This window comes from Homo sapiens, chromosome 5 (genome assembly GCF_000001405.40).
Source record: "Homo sapiens chromosome 5, GRCh38.p14 Primary Assembly".
NCBI lineage: Eukaryota > Metazoa > Chordata > Mammalia > Primates > Hominidae > Homo > Homo sapiens.
The window spans coordinates 294,554-315,925 of NC_000005.10; the positions used below are offsets into that span (position 1 = coordinate 294,554).

Consider the following 21,372-nt stretch of genomic DNA (forward strand, 5'->3'; position numbering starts at 1 on the left):
TAGTGATGATGCAGAGGAACTGGGACCCTCATAAGCTGCAGTGGGAATGGGAGGGGTCCCGCCATGCTGGAAAGTGGTCCGGGAGTTTCTTACGAAGTTAAGCACATCCTTACCCTGTCATCCAGCAACCCCGCTCCTGAAACGTCCCCCAAGAGAAAACTTAAACGTGCATGCACAAACCTGCACACAAGTGTTTAGGCCTCATTCCTCATTGCCAATAACTGGAAGAAAACAAAATGTCCATCGGCAGGAGGAGGCGGGAACCAACGCGGATGCTTCCACACAGGGGGCACCAACCAGCAGTGGAAGGATGCACCCAAATGCCCCAGGTCTCCCAGGCCACATGCCCAGTGAAGGAAGCTAGTTTCGGTGCGCACAGGCCGAGGGATGCCGCCACGTGACATCTTGGAGAAGACAGTGCTACCGTGTTGGGGAGCAGGGCAGTGGTTTCGAGGGGCTACGGGTGGAGGGGCGAATGGAGGAGCTCTCTGGGGCGGTGGCGTGAGCACCTGCACCTCACTGTGGGCTGCTGCGGCTGAGGGGCTGTACAGCAAACACTAGCTTCAGTACACGCAGACTGAAGGAGGAAGGCTGCCACAAGTCAAAGACAGAGGGTGTCACCTCCATGAAACAAAAACATATTAAAAAAAACTCTTAAAATAAAAAAACCACAAAAAGTATTTCATAAGCGTATTGGACTTTGAGTTGACATCATCTACCTGGGAGCATGGAACTGAAACCACAGGCTTGGCAATCCCAGAGGGAGAGAGTGGAGGGTTTAGACCTCCATTGAAGGGCTCAGTACCTGGCTATAGGAAATAACATTTAAAAAGCGGCAGGGTGGAAATAATTTCTGCTGATGAGGTTGCATTTCTCCAGATAACCGGCAGAGTAAATTAAAGCAATATAGTAAAACAATGCACATATTGATGGAATCTCAGGATCACAAGGTTGTGGTGAAGGAAATTTGAAGATGTCCAGGAAAGAAAGACAAATGAGATGAATCTTGCAGCTGCCCTTCAAGGGGGCATGGGCCGGGTGGCCATGATTCTCCGTGATGTTGCAGGAATTCTGGCTGGGTCCTCAGGAGCCTTTTTTTTCTTGTCCACATTCACCTTCGGTGGGTGGTCCCTGGTGGTCATGACCGCACTCAGGGCCCGGGGCCTGCTGAGGCTGCTCTCCCTGTTCCCGGAATGCAGGGGTTTGTTCCAGATCCCGCTGCTCTCCACACAGAAAGCCAATCACTAAGACGATAGTTACTGCCAATGAAGAAGGCATGCATCAGAAGCTACAGGCCAGGAGATGGGAGGTCAGCTTCAAATCCATCTTCCTGACTGACTATATAGCAGGGAAGAAGTGTGACTGTGTGTAAGGAAAACAGGAATTAGGGAGAGTGAGGAAGAGGAGTTGGTCAGGAGGAGGCAGGTGGCTGGTCAGGCACTCATGATGGGTGAGGGGTTTGGCGTCTTACTGTCCAGATGGCGTGATCTGGTGAGTCTCTCTTCCTTCACACTACCTGGGAGGCCTGATGGTCAGTTTCCTAAGAAAGGAACTCAAATAAGACAAATGTCACTTTCTCAAGTTTTAAGACCAAAAGGATCCATTTCTATGTTATTCAGAGAAACCATGAACATCAATTCTCTGGGACAATCAGGCCAGTTCAACACCAGATCTGATCGGCCACGACACCTGCTGCTCGACCCTCAGATAAGGCCCAGAATCCAGTGTCCTCTCCCCCACCCCAGCCTGGCCCCACACCCACACCTCCCCACTTCACCCTGGGCCTCTGCTCTCTCGCCACAGAGGGGTCAGGGAGCTGTTCACGCCCCACGTGCACCTGGGCACGTGGCATATTTCAGATGCACCTGGTGTCACTGTTTGCACAGACCTAAGTGGGAAGAGATCCAAATGCTCGTTCACTGCAGGTGGATGAGGACATCCCAGCAAGTCCCTCAGTGGAGTCAGCCAGTGCAAGGCGAGTGAGGGACCCCCAGAGACATGAATGGGTCTCAGATAGTGTGTGAGTGGATGAAGCAGCAAAAACACACGCTGCTAATTAATTGATTTATGTCGAGCTCAAAGTAGTCCACATCAAAAAGACTGTTTGGGGCTGCAGGAATTCAGTGGATAATTGCAGGCAAGGCAAGGGAAGGTGGACCAGAAAGGTGAGGAGGACGCTCCCTTCGAGGGTGGAGAGAGTAAGACTGGCATTGCACATGGGTGGGGGGGCCCGTCGAGGCCCCTCTTTGCTTCTGAGAGTCTGTTTTCATCGACAGTCTTCTACTAAATGTACATAGCAGCTTTTCAGGGCAAGGGTCACCGGGATTCGTCTTTATGCCTCCCCAGCCCGGGAGCCACCACCTCCACCAGACCCATCCACACAGTTGAATCTCATCTCAAGTTCTCTGGTGCCCGACCCCCCACGCACACCGTGCTGGTCTGGGCATCTCACCTGCATCCGCACAAGTGCCTCAGGAGGGTGGAGTGTCTGGTGCTCGGCGCTGGAGGCTCAGCCCACACTGTGCCGGGCAGTCGCAGGCCTCCCAGATGAATGAAGCATGAATGAATCCCGATCCTGTTATCACAGCTTCTCCCCACGCATCCCAGGCAGAATGTTGTGCAAAAACCACACCAGGATTCGTACATGCCAGAGGACTGAACTTCTGCGTGTTGCAGATAATTCATCTTCCTGAATCACTGTGGATCTACCATGTGGTTAACCACGGAATAAACATGGGGGAGAGCGTAAGCGCTGTCCTAGCAGAAACTTATGCTTCTTCCGTTACCCTTAAAAAGTAAAGGGTACGGATTTCATAATTGTGTTTCTCTTGTAAATGAGACTCTCATGGAAAAATCAGCCATGTAGGCGATAGATTTGTATACCTTTAGATTAAAATGTCACTTCGATTATTTCAAGTGTAAAAGTGTTTCAGCTTTTTTGAGGTATAATTGCTACACAAAGAGCTGCACACATTTCATGTGTGCACTTTGGTGAGACTTGACCTGAGCAAACACCCATGAAACCATCACCAAATCAAAGCAATCGAGGAATTCCACACTTGCTGGGGGCTTCCTTGCACCTGTGCCCGTGGTGAGAACACAGCACGAGATCTTCCCTCTCAGCCAATCGCAAACGGCCCACAAGAAAATGACACCAGGCCTCCTGGTGAACACACACCCTGTGATTTAATTGTTGATCTTTTTAACCTGGGGCTCACATTCTTCATTCAGAATATGGCAAAGACTTTAGAAGTCATCCAAAGTATCAGTAATTTGAAGTCCTTTAATACAAAAAGTATAGAATATGACCTTTTGTCACATAGCAATAGGGAAATGAAAAAAGAAAATCGACTTATGTTCTTTAATGGCTAGGAAAATATTCTTAAAAAGAGATCTCAAGCACAGGTGAATCTAACAAATGACAAATTTATTTCTTTACATAGATAAATATAAGGTTAGATCCACGTAAATAAATGAAGCCATTAAGGGTAGAGTCCCACAGACCACAGCGTCCAGCTCTGCTATCGATATCAGGGAGTAATTTCCAGGCACACAGAACTGACCCAGCATCCAGCTCTGCTCATGATTTCAGGGGTAATTCCCAGGCACGGGTCGAGCTGGAGAAGCTGGGGGCCCCCATAGCCCCACTGTCCTTCCTGCCTCATGGGGTCTCTGAGGGGTGCCTGGAACATTTCCTCTTGGGCTTTGAAGATCATTTCACTTAAACACATTTTCCAGGTGCCATGGACCTGAGCCCAGAAACTTCACGGTACCAGGACCACCCGAGACAGTGGCTCCCCAGGAGTGAGCACCAGGCACTGTCAGGGGTTCTCTCCCCAGCACATTTACAAGGACATGATGGGTTCTTCTTCCTGCAGAGCAATCCCAGTGGGAAGAAGGAGGGGACGGGAGGCCTGGCAAACTCTCCTCCCCAGCTCCGTTCCAAGCTCTGTGGGGCTCCGGCAGGCCCCATGTCATGTGCAGATGAGGGATTAGGGTTCCTCCCGGCCTCGCTGCTCTCAGGCCCTCAAGGGCTCCTCTCACCACCCCCGTGCAGCCAGCGGACCCTGCCCCCACCCAGCTGCTCCCCCCAGCTGCTCCCACTCAGCTGCTCCCACTCAGCTGCTCCCACTCAGCTGCTCCCACTCAGCTGCTCCCACCCAGCTGCTCCCACCCAGCTGCTCCCCCCAGCTGCTCACCCCCAACTGCTCCCCCCCAGCTGCTCCCCCCCAGCTGCTCCCCCAGCTGCTCCCCCCTAGCTGCTCCCCCCCAGCTGCTCCCCCGCAGCTGCTCCCCCCAGCTGCTCCCCCAGCTGCTCCCACTCAGCTGTTCTCACCCAGCTGCTCTCACCCAGCTGTTCCCCCCAGCTGCTCCCCCTCAGCTACTCCCACCCAGCTGCTCCCCACTAGCTGCTCCCCCCAGCTACTCCCACCCAGCTGCTCCCCACTAGCTGCTCCTCCCCAGCTGCTCCCCCCCAGCCGCTCCCCCCAGCTGCTCCCCCCAGCTGCTCCCCCCCAGCTGTTCTCACCCAGCTGCTCCCCCCCAGCTGCTCCCCCCCAGCTGCTCCCCCCCAGCTGCTCTCACCCAGCTGCTCCCCCCCAACTGCTCCCCCCAGCTGTTCTCACCCAGTTGCTCCCCACAAGCTGTTCCCCCCAGCTGCTCCCCCCAGCTGTTCCCCCTCCGCTGCTCCCCCCCAGCTGTTCCCCCCCAGCTGTTCTCAGGTTTCTCATCCTTCCTGGATGACGCCCTACCTGGGGCACCCGTTCCTGTGGCATCCCCAGTCCTGCACTGCAGCACTCAAACCCCGTCACCTCCCTGGCGAGACCATGCTGGAACCGTGATCAGCCCATCGGTTTCATCCATTATCCTCCTAGCCCAATTTCTGTGCTGATCTCTCGTTCCCAAAACATCTTGGAATTATAAGAAATTAACTTTTTTCAAGTCTCTGTGCTTCTGAAGCTGTACTTTTAAGAAATAATTCTTACGTTCTTTTGAAGGTTTTTTTTTTTTCTTTAAGACAGAGTCTCACTTTGTCGCCCAGGCTGGAGTCCAGTGGTGCAATCTCAGCTCACTGCAAGCTCCACCTCCCGGGTTCACGCCATTCTCCTGCCTCAGCCCCCCGAGTAGCTGGGACTACAGGCACACGCCGCCATGCCTGGCTAATTTTTTGTATTTTTAGTAGAGATGGGGTTTCACCATATTAGCCAGGATGGTCTCGATCTCCTCACCTGGTGATCCGCCCGCCTTGGCCTCCCAAAGTGCTGGGATTACAGGCGCCAGCCACCGCGCCCAGCTGGTATTTTTTTTTTTATTTTTTTATCAAATACAGTTGAGGCTCTCTTGGAGATCACATATTAAAGAGAACTGAGAAAAATCAGACCTCAGAAGCAGTACAGTGCCCTGTAAAGTACATGTCCAGTCCCATCACTGTCCTTCTCTCACATGGGCCCAGGGATGTGGGTGATGGTATTTATTGCCCCTGGTGATGGAGCAGATTTGATCTGCCTATGTGGGAAGGGGTTAACTCAGCGGGTGTGGATTGCTCAAACCCTGCACGTTCCCAGGAGGGGCCCTTGGCTGGCTCCTGGGAGCTGAGCTCCTGCAGTGTTCTGACTGATGAGAGAGACTTGAGCCATGTTGCACTACTTTGCCTGGGTAGTTGACCAACAAGGTGATGGATGGCAAACACCTGCTTTCGCTGTGGGTGGCTGGAACTTCCCTGACTGACCCCCAGGTTCAGGAGAGCCTCCCTGGTCCGCACCACGGCACTAGCTGTCCCAGCTTCTTGCTGGAGGAATCCGGCGCACCCTGTGTGACTCCGCTGGGAGGGACTCTGGAAGCGCCTGGCTTCCCTGGCAGCCCTTTCCCTTGGCTGGTTTACTCTGTACCCTTTCAAGTTGGAGGGTGGTCTCAGGGACCCCCATGCAGTCTTTCGTGCTTTCACCAGAAACTCACCTTGGCAGGGCTTCAGGGGAAGGCTTGGGATTTGGTGACAAGTGACTCCATGGCCTTGGGCAAAGCACAGCATCTACTTAGGTTTTCAGGCGGTTGCCCAGGTATGTCTAGCACCTAATGTAACCGAGGCGTGAAATGCCTGTGCGCCACGGTGCTTCAGCTCGTTACGGGCCGTTAGGCCTTGTGGTGGTTCTCTCTTGGTTTCTGTGGAGAAGCCAGACCCCGCTGTGGTTGGCAAGGAAGGCGAGTGGAGACATCAGGAGTGTCCATCCCTCAGCGGCCCTTTCTAGTGGGGTGGCTGCCTCTCTCATCCTTGATTAATCCCGGGACAACCTCTGCTCTCCTGGGCAATCCTTAGAATACTCCAGAAGACCCCAGTATGGCCGTCCGGTTCCTCCTGGGCCCCAGCTCTCAGGAATGCACCATCACGGCACACTCCATGCGTGCCCGTCCAGATGGCACCTGAGCCTCCCTGTGCCTGCGCTGCGGCGTTAACATCTCGCTTGTGTTTTAACCTGTGTTGCTTTGGTTTAAAACTTGTTTGACCGTGTTATTTGCTGAGATGGCCCAGAGAAGCTTCTGCTTATGATCAGGACACGTCACAGTGCAGCCTTCACTTGAGGACTTAGGTCTCATCCAGCTCCACACAGTCAATCCAGGGCCACGGACGCAGAAGACAGAGGAGAAGAAGCTCATGGCATGAAGACAGAGGATTGATTGCCCAGGAGGCTTCCAGGGGCTTTGGCTCCTGGGGCTTCTGTCAGCGCTGGGTCAGAGCAGGTCACCCTTGTGTGCAGACACTAGGTTGCCGCACACAGCGGTGAAGAACGGGGGAGACCAGATGGAATTGGGTGAGGCAGGGATGCTCCTTGGTGTTTAGAGTTTTCCTCTTTCTTTGCCTTGTGGGTTTTCTGTAGCCTATCTTTGCTTTTTGTAACACTAGTTTTCAGTAATTCCGACCTTTCTGAATACCTCTATATACATATACCTGTCTACTCTCCTTTCAGATACTTGTAAAGCCTACAGAAAGGTAATCCTGCAGATTATCACTCTATTCAGCTTAACAGATGCTCGTCGAGTGCTGCTGTGTGTGTATGCCTCAGGTTCAGGTGCACCTGCCTTTGTGGGGAGAGCACAGCTTCCCTGCATAACTGCTGGAGGGTGGGTCGTCGAGTGCTGCTGTGTGTGTGGGCCTCAGGTTCAGGTGCACCTGCCTTTGTGGGGAGAGCACAGCTTCCCTGCATAACTGCTGGAGGGTGGGTCGTGGAGTGCTGCTCTGTGTGTATGCCTCGGGTTCAGGTGCACCTGCCTTTGTGGGAAGAGCACAGCTTCTCTGCATAACTGCTGGAGGGTGGGTCGTCCAGTGCTGCTGTGTGTGTATGCCTCAGGTTCAGGTGCACCTGCCTTTGTGGGAAGAGCACAGCTTCCCTGCATAACTGCTGGAGGGCGGGTCATCGAGTGCTGCTGTGTGTGTATGCCTCGGGTTCAGGTGCACCTGCCTTTGTGGGAAGAGCACAGCTTCCCTGCATAACTGCTGGAGGGCGGATCATTGAGTGCTGCTCTGTGTGTGTGTGTGTGTGTGTGTGTGTGTGTGTGTGTGCCTTGGGTTCAGGTGCACCTGCCTTTGTGGGAATAGCACAGCTTCCCTGCATAACTGCTGGAGGGCGGGTCGTGGAGTGCTGCTGTGTGTGTGTGTGTGTGTGTATGCCTCGGGTTCAGGTGCACCTGCCTTTGTGGTAAGAGCACAGCTTCCCTGCATAACTGCTGGAGGGCGGGTCATCGAGTGCTGCTGTGTGTGTGGGCCTCAGGTTCAGGTGCACCTGCCTTTGTGGGAAGGGCACAGCTTCCCTGCATAACTGCTGGAGGGTGGGTCGTGGAGTGCTGCTCTGTGTGTATGCCTCAGGTTCAGGTGCACCTGCCTTTGTGGGGAGAGCACAGCTTCCCTGCATAACTGCTGGAGGGCGGGTCATGGAGTGCTGCTGCTGTGTGTGTGTGTGTGTGTGTGTATGCCTCGGGTTCAGGTGCACCTGCCTTAGTGGGGAGAGCACAGCTTCCCTGCATAACTGCTGGAGGGCGGGTCATCGAGTGCTGCTCTGTGTGTATGCCATGGGTTCAGGTGCACCTGCCTTTGTGGGAAGAGCACAGCTTCCCCGCATAACTGCTGGAGGGTGGGTCATCGAGTGCTGCTGTGTGTGTGGGCCACGGGTTCAGGTGCACCTGCCTTTGTGGGGAGAGCACAGCTTCCCTGCATAACTGCTGGAGGGTGGGTCATCGAGTGCTGTGTGTGTGGGCCACAGGTTCAGGTGCACCTGCCTTTGTGGGGAGAGCACAGCTTCCCTGCATAACTGCTGGAGGGCGGATCATTGAGTGCTGCTCTGTGTGTATGCCTCAGGTTCAGGTGCACCTGCCTTTGTGGGAAGAGCACAGCTTCCCTGCATAACTGCTGGAGGGCGGGATCTTCCCAAGGGGAAGTTGGGAGGTGCTCAGGCGGAGCAAATGGATTTAACTTCTGGGCTGGGAGAATGTGGTACCCCCGTGGAAGTCTCCCTGAGGAAGGAAAGGAAGGAGCTGGAGGGAGGGTGTGTGTGTCTTAGGAGGGGACGCACTTCAGGTGAGAGCGGGCATGGCACTAGGAGGAGCCCCATGAGCCCAGAGTGGTGGCACGTAGAGGCCTAAGGGACCATGCCAGCAGACCCCACCGCCCGTGCTCCACCAGGAGCCTGACATTGTTCTCTGAGATCAGGGGGCTGTCTCTGTGTACTGCCCAGGACTGTGGCATTTTTGTGCATAAAAAAAAAAAAAAACTGTGTGTCTAACACAGACGGGGTATGAGGAGAGCCACTGGTCTCTCCTGACCTTAAAAATATTTTTTTAGTTCATTTTTAGTGAGTATGGAAATTACTGAAGGTACAAATCACTCTGAAGATAGGTTCTTGTGTGCGAAGGTCATCAGTGAATCTTCATTCTCAGAGTTGATAAATGGTTGTGAGCGCTCAAGGGTATCAGATTCAACGATGAGTCTGAGGATAGTACAGCTTTCCTATTCAGTTTCAAGGAAAATCATATAAAGCCCAGACCGTAATTTGTCAGGAATGTTTGAAGTGTGGTGTGATGGATGTCTTCACCGTGCTTTAGGATGATTACTGAGGGAGAACGGAAGGAAGGGGTCTGGTACTTGCACCTTTCAGTAGAATTAGTGTGAATGCCACAGCGACCAAGCTATGTTCAGGTGTCTGCAGGCAGTGGTGGCCTTGATGATGGATTTTCTGAAATGGGAATTCGTGAAGTCCTCTAACAAAACTAAGTGCGAACTTCTCAACTTAGCTGGTGACTGCATCCTTGAAAAATTCTGTGTGTAAAATGATACAGAACCATTTCTTGGTTATCTGTTAAATAAGAGTGCATGTCCAGCCGCGATGACTGTGGACGGCCTTGGAGGTCTGGGAGGCCACGAAGGACTCCCACACACAGCAGGGTGTGAACCCACCAGGCAGTGCTTTGGCCCCCTCCCAGGAGTCATGGCAGCCGACACGTCACCTGGAGTGTCTAGAAAACCACTACCTTAGAGCCCCCACTGCTTTTCCTGGTGCCTCCAGGTATAGATCACAAACTCAGTGTCCCAGAAAGATTTTCCTTTTACTTTAACTCCTGTTGTTGTTTGTTTTCAGGCACGTGGACTCCCTTTAATCCAGTGACTGTCAGGTCGATCATATGTAAGTATCGGCAGACGGACCAACCTGGGCTGCTTTGTATCCGACCCGCTTGGGTACCCGCTTGTGTTTCCTTTGTCTGTGGGTCCGTATCACTTTGCTCCCTTCTGGAATTCCACTTAGATGAGCGTCGGCCCTTTCATCCCTCTCCCTCCGTCTCTGTACCTTTTCACATCTCTCCGTGTATGTTTGCTCTATTCTTGATTCTGTTTATTTTTAATGTACGGTGTAACCTGTCCTTTCAGTTTCTAATTCTAAAGATGACATATATTTAAAATTTCTAAATTATTAGTTACTTTCACATCTTATCTGGGTGTTTTTGATAGACATTGCTTATTTATTTTTGTGATTCCATTCTTTATTCAAATATTTCATATGATAGTCTTCAGTTTTAAGAACATGCTTTTTTGAAAAGCGCTAGATATTTGTGACATGGAGCTCCTTGACTGTGTTTGAAGTCCTTGGGAGGGTGGTCTACAGCCAGATATTTTTCCTGCTCAAGCCCACACAGAGTGACCAACTTCCTTGATGCTTCTGTAATTTTTGTTTGTTTTGTGGGTTCATGTGTAGCCTTAATGTGAGGGTCTGCATCATTTCTTTGGGTCCAGGGTCTCCCCAGCTGTATAGGCAGCTGGGTTTTTGTTTGTTTCTTTTAAGAGACAGGGTGTCCCTGTGCTGCCCAGGCCTGGTCTGGAATTCCTGGGCTCACGCAATCCTCCTGCCTCAGCCTCCCAAAAAGTGGGGATTACAGGTGTGCACCCCCATGCCCAGACGGTAGCCGGGGTGTGAGCTGAGGCTCCAGGCGCAGGCAGGTGTTCAGGAGAGTCGTGCTGTGTCTCCATCCCCCGTAGCCAGGTGGGAGCTGCAGCTCCAGGGGCAGGCAGGCCTGGGAGGCAGGTGTTCAGGAGAGTCATGTTTCCATCCCTACCCGACTTGATTTCTGGAAGGTTCCCTTTGCTGGGAGGTGCAGCCCCCTTCAGACCTCTTTAATATGGAATCCCAGGTTCAGTTCTGCCTCACAGGGACCATGGCATTGTGTCTCGAGGTTTCCCAGAGCGGCCTGGGGCTCATTCCCTCGCCTCCCATCCATGCACGTGTTTTAGTCTTGTGAGGATTCCCTGAGTTCCTTGCGGAGCCTGTGTGTGGTGAGGTGTCTGAGTCCTAGTGTGGGTGTAGCTGGGGGCTTTTCCAGATGACTGTGCCCTGCTGGTCGTGCATATGTTGCTACGTCACACTGATGGAGGGAGAGAAAACTTGGAAGTGTAGTAGTGGCAGGGCTCAGCCTTTAGTGCTAGAAAAGGTGTTGATACATGGGGAGCTACCTCCCCACCGGAGAGGAATGGCCTGGGAGCCACTCCTCTGCGGAGCCCTTACCCTGGGGTGCAGCTCACCCAGCATCCTTCCCTGCTGGTGTGTGGTGCGCAGTGGGTCCTGCACGCAACAGCATCGTCCACACACACTGCACACATCGTGGAATGGTCGTATGAAAAACAGCCCCTGGTCCACACACCACACACGTCGTGGAACGGTGCACGTCGTGGAACGGTTGTGTGAAAAACAGCCACTGGTTGCACACAGGGTTGTGGACTGTTGGGAAGAAACATCGATGCTGTTTCTCACATGATTTTTCATCCTGTGGATTTTCATTTAATTGTAACATATTTCTGATCAAACCAGGAGTAGTCTTATTGCAGTCCTGTATTAACCTCTGTTCTTGAAAAGAGACCACGTGATTTATCATTTTCTCTGCAGCAGTAATTCACACTGAATTTTTCTATGTTTTTTAGCCATATTGCAACTACATATAAAGGTAGTTATAGATTCTTTTGTATTTGGACCTGGAGTTAGACTGAAAGCAAATAGGACATAGGCGAGGGTCTGTTTCTAATTAAAGCAGGTTTTCCTGACAGGGCTGTTCCAAGACTCCACCAGTGCTGTGGGCCCTGGAGAGTCAGAGGGTCAGCTCTGGGAATTAGATTCGCGTTCTAGGCCGAGACCCAGGAGCCAGGGGAGCTGGGGCCACTTACCTTCCCCGTGCCTCGGAAGCTGAGTGTGAAGCTCTGCTCTTCTTTCTGTCGTGGCTGCGGCTGGATTTCCTCACACATCCCATTGCACGGCCTGCCTCACAGCTGCAAGTGCACCTTCTCCTGGGACTTAGGGGGTCAGGGCTGGGGGACAATCCCCCACACCCCCACCCAGGGCGAAGGTGACAAGACTTTAAGGGATTTCACCCCATTCACAGACAGGCATGCATTGCCCAGTCCCTGGTTAGTGGTCAGCAGTGGGGCCCCGCCAGGCTCTGAGGGCTGAGGTCTGGTGGGAAGCCTCAAGTGAGTTTGCTGCAACTGATCTTTTGCTGCTTGACCGTTCCTCTCTGTCTCAGCCATGTTTGACCGTGAGAACAAGGCCGGCGTGAACTTCAGCGAGTTCACGGGTGTGTGGAAGTACATCACGGACTGGCAGAACGTCTTCCGCACGTACGACCGGGACAACTCCGGGATGATCGATAAGAACGAGCTGAAGCAGGCCCTCTCAGGTTTCGGTAACTCACTCACTCTGGCTTGTGTAGCGTGTTTCATTTTGGAACCTTGGAGCCGTTGAAGTTCTTTAAACCTTGTTGGACTTAACTGATTGTCTAACCAGGCTACGTAAAGTTTTTGTTGACGTCATGCAGGTTCATATTTGATATTGCTCATGTCGGAAGGCGATCCTCGACATGGATACGTTTATTCAGGTTTTTATCCAAAATGAGATAAGGGCTATGCAAGCCGTTCATCTTTTCTGAAGTGGAATGATGTCGTGAGCAAAACTGAGAATGTGGCTTTTGAAATCATTTAAAAGTGGATCCATGAAAATACCGTGGGGCAGGGCAGCTTATATTTCATGATAGATCAAAGCACGTTGAAAAGGCAACAGTCACCTAAGAAACAGCTGTCAGTCACCAGGTCCAAACCGTGCGCCTCAGAAGGGGCGTTAGGCAGAACGCGTGCCCATTCTCAGGTGTGCTCGGCGTGTGTGTGCTCGGCGTGTGTGTGCTCGGCGTGTGTGTGCACACGTGTGCCGTGCGCCTCAGAAGGGGCGTTAGGCAGAACGCGTGCCCATTCTCAGGTGTGCTCGGCGTGTGTGTGCTCGGCGTGTGTGTGCACACGTGTGCCGTGCGCCTCAGAAGGGGCGTTAGGCAGAACGCGTGCCCATTCTCAGGTGCGCTCAGCGTGTGTGTGCTTGACGCGTGTGCACACACACATGTGACGGTGTGCCGTGGGTCTAGGAGTGTTCACAGTGCCTGTCCAGAGTGCGTCCATAGGGCCTGTCCACGGGGCTTCCCGTGCTGCTCTCAGGGCTGAGAGGAAGCAGGGGTTTTATTTACAGAGGAACAACGGGCATGTTTGGGGCCAGCCTGAGGCTGTTGGTGGCTGCACCGAGATTCTAATCCATGCGGATCTCATCTGGCCCCTGTTGTGAAGCCGCTTCCGTGATTTGCTTAAAAGGCTCCTTAGAAACAGTGAGGAAAATTCGATTCTACTTGAGTACCTCCGAGATCCCTGGAGTCTCACTTATCTAAGCACGTCGCCTCTCCTCGTGTTTCCTCCCAGCATGCACTTTGTGGCTGCCTTTCTTTCTCTTTTCTTTCTCACCTTACGAGCTTGTCCACAGGGCCGGGGGTGGACACTGGGTCTCCTCAAGAAGCAGTTCTGAGCTGACCAGCTGCGAGCCAGGATTTGGGCTGGATGGCTCTGAATTGGTACTTGGAATGCAGCTGACCTTGCTGTGCCCTTGGGTGGGGGAACTGGAGGGAACGCTGGCCGGCTCCTCTTCCCTGGGGCAGGTACGGAAGGGCTGGGAGGGAAGGATGCCACCCTCCACAGAGAGTGGTCCTGGGGGCCAGGGAGGCCAGTGCTGCCGATTGCGGCCAGGGCCACGTGGACTTCAGGACCGGCCTGAAGTTATTTTTAGATAAGCGACCTCTGGCGCCACGGACATCTTTTCCTAACCTTGTCAGGCCCTGGAGCTCCCTTTGTCCATGCCAGTGACCATCGGTCCTCAGAATGTGCAGTGGAAGTTGCTGTGGACAGTGCTCCCTGGTCTCTGAGGCCCTCTTCGTCCTGGTCTGGCCAAGGACTTCCCAGAAAACTGTGCTTAGCTGTGGCGGGAGGCACGGCCGGTCACGCAGCCTTCCTCCCGCCCTGGAGTGGGCAGGCCTGCTTGTGTTGTGCAGCGGCAGAACCCTTCCTGACTTCCAGGTTTTTCCTGGGGTGCGGCATCCCATCGCAGCATTTTCTCTGGTTACCCTCACGAGTTTCCTCCTGCGTTTGGTTCTTGATCTCCAGGGCCATCTCCCACGTCTTCCTTGGAAAGGGGCATTGTCATCCTTTTTGTATTTTGATGATTTTGAAAGATTTCCCATAGTAACTGTTAGGAAGTTGGCCTCAGAAGCAAAAATTCTTCTTTTGTCTTGGCCCCTGTGAACAAGTGTTCTGCTCTCAGATGAAGCAGGGAGGCTGCACTGGAGCTTGGTGGCCAGCAGGAGGGAATCACCAGGGTGGTGAAGCCTGCGAGATTTCTCCCCGGGTGTCTCTGATGGGGCCACATGGTGGATTTCATAATCCACCGATTCGTTTTTTTAAGCCTTTATTGTTAACATCAACTGTGTGCCATGCTCAGAGACCTGAAGTGAAAAGGTGAGGAAGGCGTGCTCACATTCCAGCACTCACCACCCGGCACCGGGACAGCTGACTCAGCACGTGCCGTTTAGGTTGCTGTAAACAGCCGGTGAGATTCTCCCCTCTGGTGGGCAGTGCGTGTCTGACAAAGGCAGTCGGGCGGAGAACAGTTCCTCCGCTGTGGTCCTTTGCCACTGTACCAGGCCCCCAAGAGCTGGGGGGAGCCCCAGGGAGCCTCAGCCTGTTGAGTGGGGGCAGCTGGTTTGTCCTCCGAGGTGGAAGAGGTGATTTCTGAGGAGGTCATGCTCCGCTTGGCTCGTTCACAGCATTTCAGAGAGTCCGAAAGAGGAGAAAGACCTTGGCAAGGGGTGTGTCAGGGGTGGGCCCAGGGACGCTGGTGGCCTCATGTGGACTGACTTTCATGAACAGAAACTCAGAAACAGTTGCTTCTGGATTTTGGCTTCTCAGATAAACATTCTTTTTGTAGTTCGTTTGTTCATCCCTCATTTTGCTGTCTGACTTTGCCTTTCTTTTCCCTTCACTATTACTGATGACCAAGGAAACTGGAAGTTAATTCCAGAGGCAGTGGGGTTGCTCCTGTTGTCTGTGCAGACTGGAGTTCCTCTGCCTCTGTCAGCATCTCCTCTGTCCTTCCCCAGCCTTGGCAGGAGACCAGTAATGACCTCTGTCCCCGTGCACCCCAGTGATGGCCGCCGTCCCCGTGCACCCCAGTGATGGCCGCCGTCCCCGTGCACACCAGTGAGGGCCGCCGTCCCCGTGCACACCAGTGAGGGCCGCCGTCCCCGTGCACCCCAGTGAGGGCCGCCGTCCCCGTGCACCCCAGTGATGGCCGCCGTCCCCGTGCACCCCAGTGATGGCCGCCGTCCCCGTGCACCCCAGTGATGGCCGCCGTCCCCGTGCACCCCAGTGATGGCCGCCGTCCCCGTGCACCCCAGTGATGGCCGCCGTCCCCGTGCACCCCAGTGATGGCCGCCGTCCCCGTGCACCCCAGTGATGGCCGCCGTCCCCGTGCACCCCAGTGATGGCCGCCGTCCCCGTGCACCCCAGTGATGGCCGCCGTCCCCGTGCACACCAGTGATGGCCGCCGTGCCCGTGCACCCCAGTGATGGCCGCCGTCCCCGTGCACACCAGTGATGGCCTCTGTCCCCCATGCACTCCCAGACAGGCAATGTCCCTGTGGGCCTGTCCCAGGCTCTGTTCTCAGCAGGCTGGGCTCAGCCCTGGTGCAGGGAGTGAGGAGGTGGGAGTAGTAGGGACCAGAAAAAGTGGCAGCTGTTGACAACTCTGCCATCTCTTTCTGAATGTAATGGGAGGTCCTGTCTTTTCAGCTTGCAAGGAAGGAGGGTCCGAGGCAACTCCGCTGTTGCACATTTAGGGACCCCTGAACTTAAATGACAGAATGCCCTGACCACTCTGGAAGGCACTGTGTTCATGTTTGTGTGCTTGACTCTTGATCCGTAAAATGGCTGTTTGTGCAGGTCATTAACTGTGAGATTCAGAGAGTAGGTGCACACGTCCCTGCAGAGATTCCAGCAGGACTGAAAACCAGTAGAAATATATCAGCACCTGGATCTTGCCTCCTGAGTCAGTAAGGATATGCCACAGTCACGAAGGCAGTGGGATTTCGAGGGAGGGAAGGGAAGGCGGCAGGCGGGGCATGCCCTCCGGGGTGCCCGAACACACCTGCTGCATCCACATGTCTTCAGAGCCCTCTCCCTGTGGGAGGCCTTTTTCAGGACAGCCTTGGTGAACTGGAAACGGAATCCCAGCCCTTGGTGGCCCTGCAGTGACTTGGACCTTTCCGAGGTCACCCTGCCACTGCGTGCCCTTCAGTCCCTCCTGGCAGGTGGGGGCACATCCCCCAGCCACTCCCATTTCCTGACATTGTCACTTTGTATAACTGGAAGCCTTCTGTGAAATTTTAGTTTTCAAAGCATTATCTGGTGATGGGCAACCCAGGGCAGCGAATCATTCAGAATTTTCTTATCTAGGCTAATAAACATAATAAAATCAATAAGGACTTTGAAAGTAACTCCACTGGGTTCAGGAAACTGAGTGTGGCCGCCCTGTGGGGTGGTGTTTGGTGAGTGCTTCCCGGAGGTGAGTAGTTAATTCACAGGAGTGACTAATGGCAGCGTCCCACTCACTCCTCCTTCCGGGGTCATGGTCTCAAGGGGTCACTCCATGCACTGGGGATGTCAGCTCATTACAGAATGATATATTCGGGAAGTGTCTCAGTTCTGAGTGCCTTTGAGGGAATTTGCACTTCCGTTCCCACACAGCCTTGCATTGTGTGTGTTAGAGGCTGTGGGCCTTGGGCAGGAGGGGTGAGTGTTGGCACATACCTCCCGTCTCTCCCAGCCTTCTCTGACTCTGACTTTCCCTCTTGAAGGCTACCGGCTCTCTGACCAGTTCCACGACATCCTCATTCGAAAGTTTGACAGGCAGGGACGGGGGCAGATTGCCTTCGACGACTTCATCCAGGGCTGCATCGTCCTGCAGGTGACGGAATGGCTTCACGTGGGTTTGTGGTGGTGGTGGGAGGGGCTTGCTTGCCAGCGTGATGCACCTGACCTTCAATCTAAGGAGCTGGGCATGTGTAGAATTAGTTTTTGGAGCTTATAAAAGTGAGTCTCATCTTTGGAGAAGTAGCCGGTTAGTGAAGTGTGGACAAACATGTTTTCCTCCCCTTGGAAATGGCACAGAGCAGCCCATCTGCAAGACGTGGTTTTTCAGTATCCGGTGGGTTATTTACATGTATGTTCTGGTGTTGTGGTTTTTTTTGTTTTTTGTTTTGTTTTGTTTTGTTTTGAGACCGAGTCTCGCTCTGTCACCCAGACGGGAGTGCAGTGGCACGATCCCGGCTCACTCCCACCTCTGCGTCCCGGGTTTAAGCAATTCTCCTGCCTCAGCCTCCCCAGTAGCTGGGATTACAGGTGACACCCAGCTAATTTTTGTATTTTTAGTAGAGACGGGATTTTGCCATGTTGGCCAGGCTGATCTCAAACTCCTGACCTCAAGTAATCCGCCCACCTTAGCCTCCCAAAGTGCTAGGATTACAGACATGAGCCACCATGCCTGGCCAACTATGGTGTATTTTTACAAAAACTTTTATTCTGAGAAAATGGGCACGTTTTCTGTTGTGGTCATCACTGTGTCCTGCCGTCTGTGTGTGAGGTCAGCTGTGGAGCCTGTGGTCGCTCAGGCCGCCCTCAGTGGGGTCTCCGAGCTCTTCCCGTGCACTCCAGTGTCTGCAGGAGCTGGTAATGCACCCTGACCTGCAAGGCAAGCTCCTTGGTGGTGTCTCTCCTGCTGGGCTCTCTTTGAGACCCACGGGAGATGGAGAGCAGGGCTCAGGGGACCCGCCTGGGAGCTCCACACAGACCTCTGCTGCTGTTTGCAGGTGGTGATCCAGGTCTCTACCCAGGTTCCTCAAGGTCCTGTCTTGTTGGCCTTGGAATTCAGTGAGAGATAGGAACAGCATGGGGTTTTTAGAAATAATGTGGAAATTTGGAAAACGTTCCCAAATTGTTTATTCTGTATAATAATTAAGATGCTAGATCTGTAAAAGTGAGTTTCCTCTGATTTGGCATGGATGCATCAGTCCCTGTTCTTCAGGGATTTGTTGGAGAACCAGGTCTGTGAACATGGAAGCTTCAAAACTCTACGGTTGGGGACCCTTTCCTGCCCCTGCCTCTCGGGGTTCCTGCCAGGTTGGATGACATTTTTACAATGTTCTCTGAACACTTTCAAAAAAGTGTAGGCTGGGCCTGGTGTCGCATGCCTGTAGTCCCAGCTACTCAGGAGGCTGAGGCAGGAGAATCACTTGAACCCGGGAGGTGGAGGTTTCAGTGAGCCGAGATCACACCACTGCACTCCAGCCTGGGTGACAGAGCCAGACCCTGTCTTAAAAAAGAAAGAAAAGAAAAAGGGAAAAGATGCCGTGTAAAATCTCGTTCTGTGTCTGAATTGCCGTAGGGCTCAGATCTTCATTTGAGGTTCTGTGTCTGAATTGCCGTAGGGCTCAGATCTTCATTTGAGGTTATGTTCTATAAGTTAACGTTGATCTTGTGTGAGCTTTCGGTAGCTGGAGTAACACAGGCGGCCTCACAGCGACCTCTCCAGCGCCTTCCAAGGCACATCTGCAGCCAGCGTAGCTCCTCCTGGGAGATGCCTCCTCAAGGCCCTGCTCCAGACCACGTGGGGAGGGCCTGACAGCCAATTCCCAGGCTGTCCCCACCCTTGGAGAGTGACCCTAAACGCTAGACAGATGGGGAATGGGAAAGAAAAGAAAGCTGCAGACCTCAAGTTAAAATTCCCTCAAAAACGTTTTTATTTATCTGCTTTTTCTGAAAGGATAAAGGCTTTTTGAAAATTATTTTCTAACAAATAACATGAACACTTCTAGAAACCCTAGAAAAACACAAAGTATTCAAAATAGAAAGAAAAATTACCCATTACTCTTTAAGCCAGCATTATCCATTGCGGTGCTTTTGGAGTTGGGTGAGGCCGTAGCCTCTGCCAAGTCAAGGAGCCCGGTGGTGGCTGTGGCATTCCTGCAGGGTTGTTTTTTTTTCTTTGAGATGGAGTCTCACTCTTGTCACCCCAGCTGGAATGTGGTGGTGTAAACAGCTCACTGCAGCCTTGACCCTGAGGCTCAAGCGATCCTTCTGCCTTGGCCTCCTGAGTAGCTGGGATCCCAGGCGAGAGTCACCACACCCTGTCCATGTTCCTGCAGGTCTTGATGTGCGAGGACGCTGTGTCTTCCCTGCCACATTTTCTTCTTCTTTCTTGAGACAGACCCTTGCTCCATCACCCAGGCCAGAGTGTGGTGGTGCGAACACGGCTCACTGCAGCCTCGACCCTCAGGCTCAAGCGATCCTCACGCCTCGGACCCCCAAAGTGCTGGGATCACAGGCGAGAGTCACCATGCTGGCCTGAATCTTCAGGGTATTTTACGGTTGAAGTGTCACTTACTTAACCATCCCTGTTTCAGGAGTGTAGGTGGTCACCCTGTCTCTGCCGCTGACCTGGCCTGGACCCTCGGCTGTGAGAGGGAGGGGTGGGCTGGGCTGGAGGAACCTGAAGCCCTCGTGATGTCACAAGCCCATCTGGCTGGGCATCCCCTGCGCTGCACATGCCCCAGGTGGCCCCCACAGCAGAGGCGAGCCACTGGAGGGTGGAGGGCTTCCACGGGACGGTCTTCAGGGGGAGAAGGAAGGGCCCAGGCCCCCAGGAGACTCAGGAGACCAGAGCCTGGGGTCAGGGGCTCAGCCAGGGGCTCAGCCAGGGCTGGATGTCCGGAGCCAGCCCCGCAGCCCTGTGTTCTTCGTTCTTCGCACTCCCACCGTCCGTGTGAACAGCTCCAGCCCCACCTGCGCCTCCCTGTGCTGGGCTCCATCAGGGAGCCCAGAAGACGTGTGTGCTTCTGAAATTGGGTCCCTACATGCCTTTGTCCCAGTGCACCTTGCTCCTTCCATTTACTATCGAGATTTAAATGCCTGTTTTCTCCCCAGAGGTTGACGGATATATTCAGACGTTACGACACGGATCAGGACGGCTGGATTCAGGTGTCGTACGAACAGTACCTGTCCATGGTCTTCAGTATCGTATGACCCTGGCCTCTCGTGAAGAGCAGCACAACATGGAAAGAGCCAAAATGTCACAGTTCCTATCTGTGAGGGAATGGAGCACAGGTGCAGTTAGATGCTGTTCTTCCTTTAGATTTTGTCACGTGGGGACCCAGCTGTACATATGTGGATAAGCTGATTAATGGTTTTGCAACTGTAATAGTAGCTGTATCGTTCTAATGCAGACATTGGATTTGGTGACTGTCTCATTGTGCCATGAGGTAAATGTAATGTTTCAGGCATTCTGCTTGCAAAAAAATCTATCATGTGCTTTTCTAGATGTCTCTGGTTCTATAGTGCAAATGCTTTTATTAGCCAATAGGAATTTTAAAATAACATGGAACTTACACAAAAGGCTTTTCATGTGCCTTACTTTTTTAAAAAGGAGTTTATTGTATTCATTGGAATATGTGACGTAAGCAATAAAGGGAATGTTAGACGTGTGGTCTGCCTTCAGCTTTTCAAATCAAATAGGTCCAAGAACCAGGCCCCGTGCCCTGGTCCTCCAGACAGTCAGTGTCAGATGTTCTGGCTTGCCTGGGACCTCCCAGGGTACCGGGCACCTTCTGGAACATTGTCCAGCCCAGCGTGCACAGCTCTGCTTGTGAAAATCCAGAGGGACTGTCTCACCCTCTGTTCAGGAGGTTAAATTTCATAAGACTGCTCCTTTTGGATGAAGAAATCCAATTTGGTATAGCAGGTTGTGCATTTCCATCATTAATGATTTAGCCATGCTGTGCCCTGCAGTCTCTGCACGTGGCCTGCAGCGTTTGTCCACCCAGCGCATCCTGCTCACCTCGGTCCACTGCCAGCGCTGCCCGGTCCGCCTCCCTGCCTCACTGTGCAGCGCCGGCCCTCCTGGGTTGACACTCCCGAGGCCCAGCCTCATTCTCCAGACGCTTCCCTTCCACAGTGATGCGTCTGGTTTTGGGGCTGCAGCCTCTGGTCTCAGAAAGCCTGCTCCTTCCACCCAGTTGTGCACGACTTTTCTCTGTTCGTTTTGGTCTCTTGGGATCTGTTCAAACCTCTGCTCGGTGTGTTGAGGGGTGAGGGGCAGGGAGCATGGTTTCCTGGAAAAAGCCCCCAGTCTCTTAAGCTGGGCAGGTGTGCTGTGGGGGGTGGGGACTGGGGCTGCTTCTGTGCTCCAGATGAGACCTCCCCCACTGCCCAACTGCACTTGGCCTGGGGCCCTCTGGATACGAATCCCTCTGGAGCAGGCACTCCAGGCTCCCTGGGGATGGGAGGGGGAGGGATGTGGGCTTGGGGGTCTGGCTGCTCCCTCATGACCTCAGTCATGGGGATCCCAGGGCAGTCTCTGAGGATCCCCAGCAATCCACGCCGGGTGCCTCCCTAGACCTTGACACCCCCATGACTCTGCAGCAGATGACCCCAAGT

The 21,372-nt window shown here is 53.4% G+C and overlaps 1 protein-coding gene and 1 long non-coding RNA gene across 7 annotated transcripts in view, besides 6 other annotated features; both read left to right on the forward strand.

Moving 5' to 3' along the window:
* Positions 1–20,421, forward strand: part of PDCD6 (programmed cell death 6) — a 43,329-nt gene extending 22,908 nt beyond the window's left edge. For 2 of the 5 annotated variants that reach the window (NM_013232.4, NM_001267558.2), the window contains 4 exons: positions 9,624–9,668; positions 12,049–12,207; positions 16,740–16,849; positions 19,864–20,421. In NM_013232.4, coding sequence (NP_037364.1) covers positions 9,624–9,668; positions 12,049–12,207; positions 16,740–16,849; positions 19,864–19,962 — 413 coding nt within the window. In that variant the 3' untranslated portion in view covers positions 19,963–20,421. The remainder of the gene's footprint in view (positions 1–9,623; positions 9,669–12,048; positions 12,208–16,739; positions 16,850–19,863) is intronic. The other 3 variants (NM_001267556.2, NM_001267559.2, NM_001267557.2) reach the window with 3 other exon arrangements.
* Positions 1–21,372, forward strand: part of PDCD6-AHRR (PDCD6-AHRR readthrough (NMD candidate)) — a 166,640-nt gene that overhangs the window by 22,908 nt on the left and 122,360 nt on the right. For both annotated transcript variants that reach the window (NR_165159.2, NR_165163.2), the window contains exon 3: positions 9,624–9,668. This is a non-coding gene — a long non-coding RNA (PDCD6-AHRR readthrough (NMD candidate)). The remainder of the gene's footprint in view (positions 1–9,623; positions 9,669–21,372) is intronic.
* Positions 454–624: a silencer, noted in NCBI's record as "fragment chr5:295122-295292 (GRCh37/hg19 assembly coordinates)". NCBI's record gives its function as "represses an EF-1alpha promoter that drives an FKBP-Casp9 reporter gene in an ReSE screen in phorbol 12-myristate 13-acetate-treated (for megakaryocytic differentiation) K562 erythroleukemia cells {active_cell/tissue: K562(+PMA)}" and the evidence as "EXISTENCE:reporter gene assay evidence [ECO:0000049][PMID:32094911]".
* Positions 1,926–2,454: an enhancer, noted in NCBI's record as "H3K4me1 hESC enhancer chr5:296594-297122 (GRCh37/hg19 assembly coordinates)". NCBI's record gives its function as "activates a minimal SCP1, AML or CMV promoter by ChIP-STARR-seq in naive H9 embryonic stem cells {active_cell/tissue: H9 hESC(naive)}" and the evidence as "EXISTENCE:reporter gene assay evidence [ECO:0000049][PMID:30033119]".
* Positions 2,455–2,983: an enhancer, noted in NCBI's record as "H3K4me1 hESC enhancer chr5:297123-297651 (GRCh37/hg19 assembly coordinates)". NCBI's record gives its function as "activates a minimal SCP1, AML or CMV promoter by ChIP-STARR-seq in naive H9 embryonic stem cells {active_cell/tissue: H9 hESC(naive)}" and the evidence as "EXISTENCE:reporter gene assay evidence [ECO:0000049][PMID:30033119]".
* Positions 6,693–7,198: an enhancer, noted in NCBI's record as "H3K27ac-H3K4me1 hESC enhancer chr5:301361-301866 (GRCh37/hg19 assembly coordinates)". NCBI's record gives its function as "activates a minimal SCP1, AML or CMV promoter by ChIP-STARR-seq in naive H9 embryonic stem cells {active_cell/tissue: H9 hESC(naive)}" and the evidence as "EXISTENCE:reporter gene assay evidence [ECO:0000049][PMID:30033119]".
* Positions 7,199–7,704: an enhancer, noted in NCBI's record as "H3K27ac-H3K4me1 hESC enhancer chr5:301867-302372 (GRCh37/hg19 assembly coordinates)". NCBI's record gives its function as "activates a minimal SCP1, AML or CMV promoter by ChIP-STARR-seq in naive H9 embryonic stem cells {active_cell/tissue: H9 hESC(naive)}" and the evidence as "EXISTENCE:reporter gene assay evidence [ECO:0000049][PMID:30033119]".
* Positions 12,240–13,124: an enhancer, noted in NCBI's record as "H3K27ac-H3K4me1 hESC enhancer chr5:306908-307792 (GRCh37/hg19 assembly coordinates)". NCBI's record gives its function as "activates a minimal SCP1, AML or CMV promoter by ChIP-STARR-seq in primed H9 embryonic stem cells {active_cell/tissue: H9 hESC(primed)}" and the evidence as "EXISTENCE:reporter gene assay evidence [ECO:0000049][PMID:30033119]".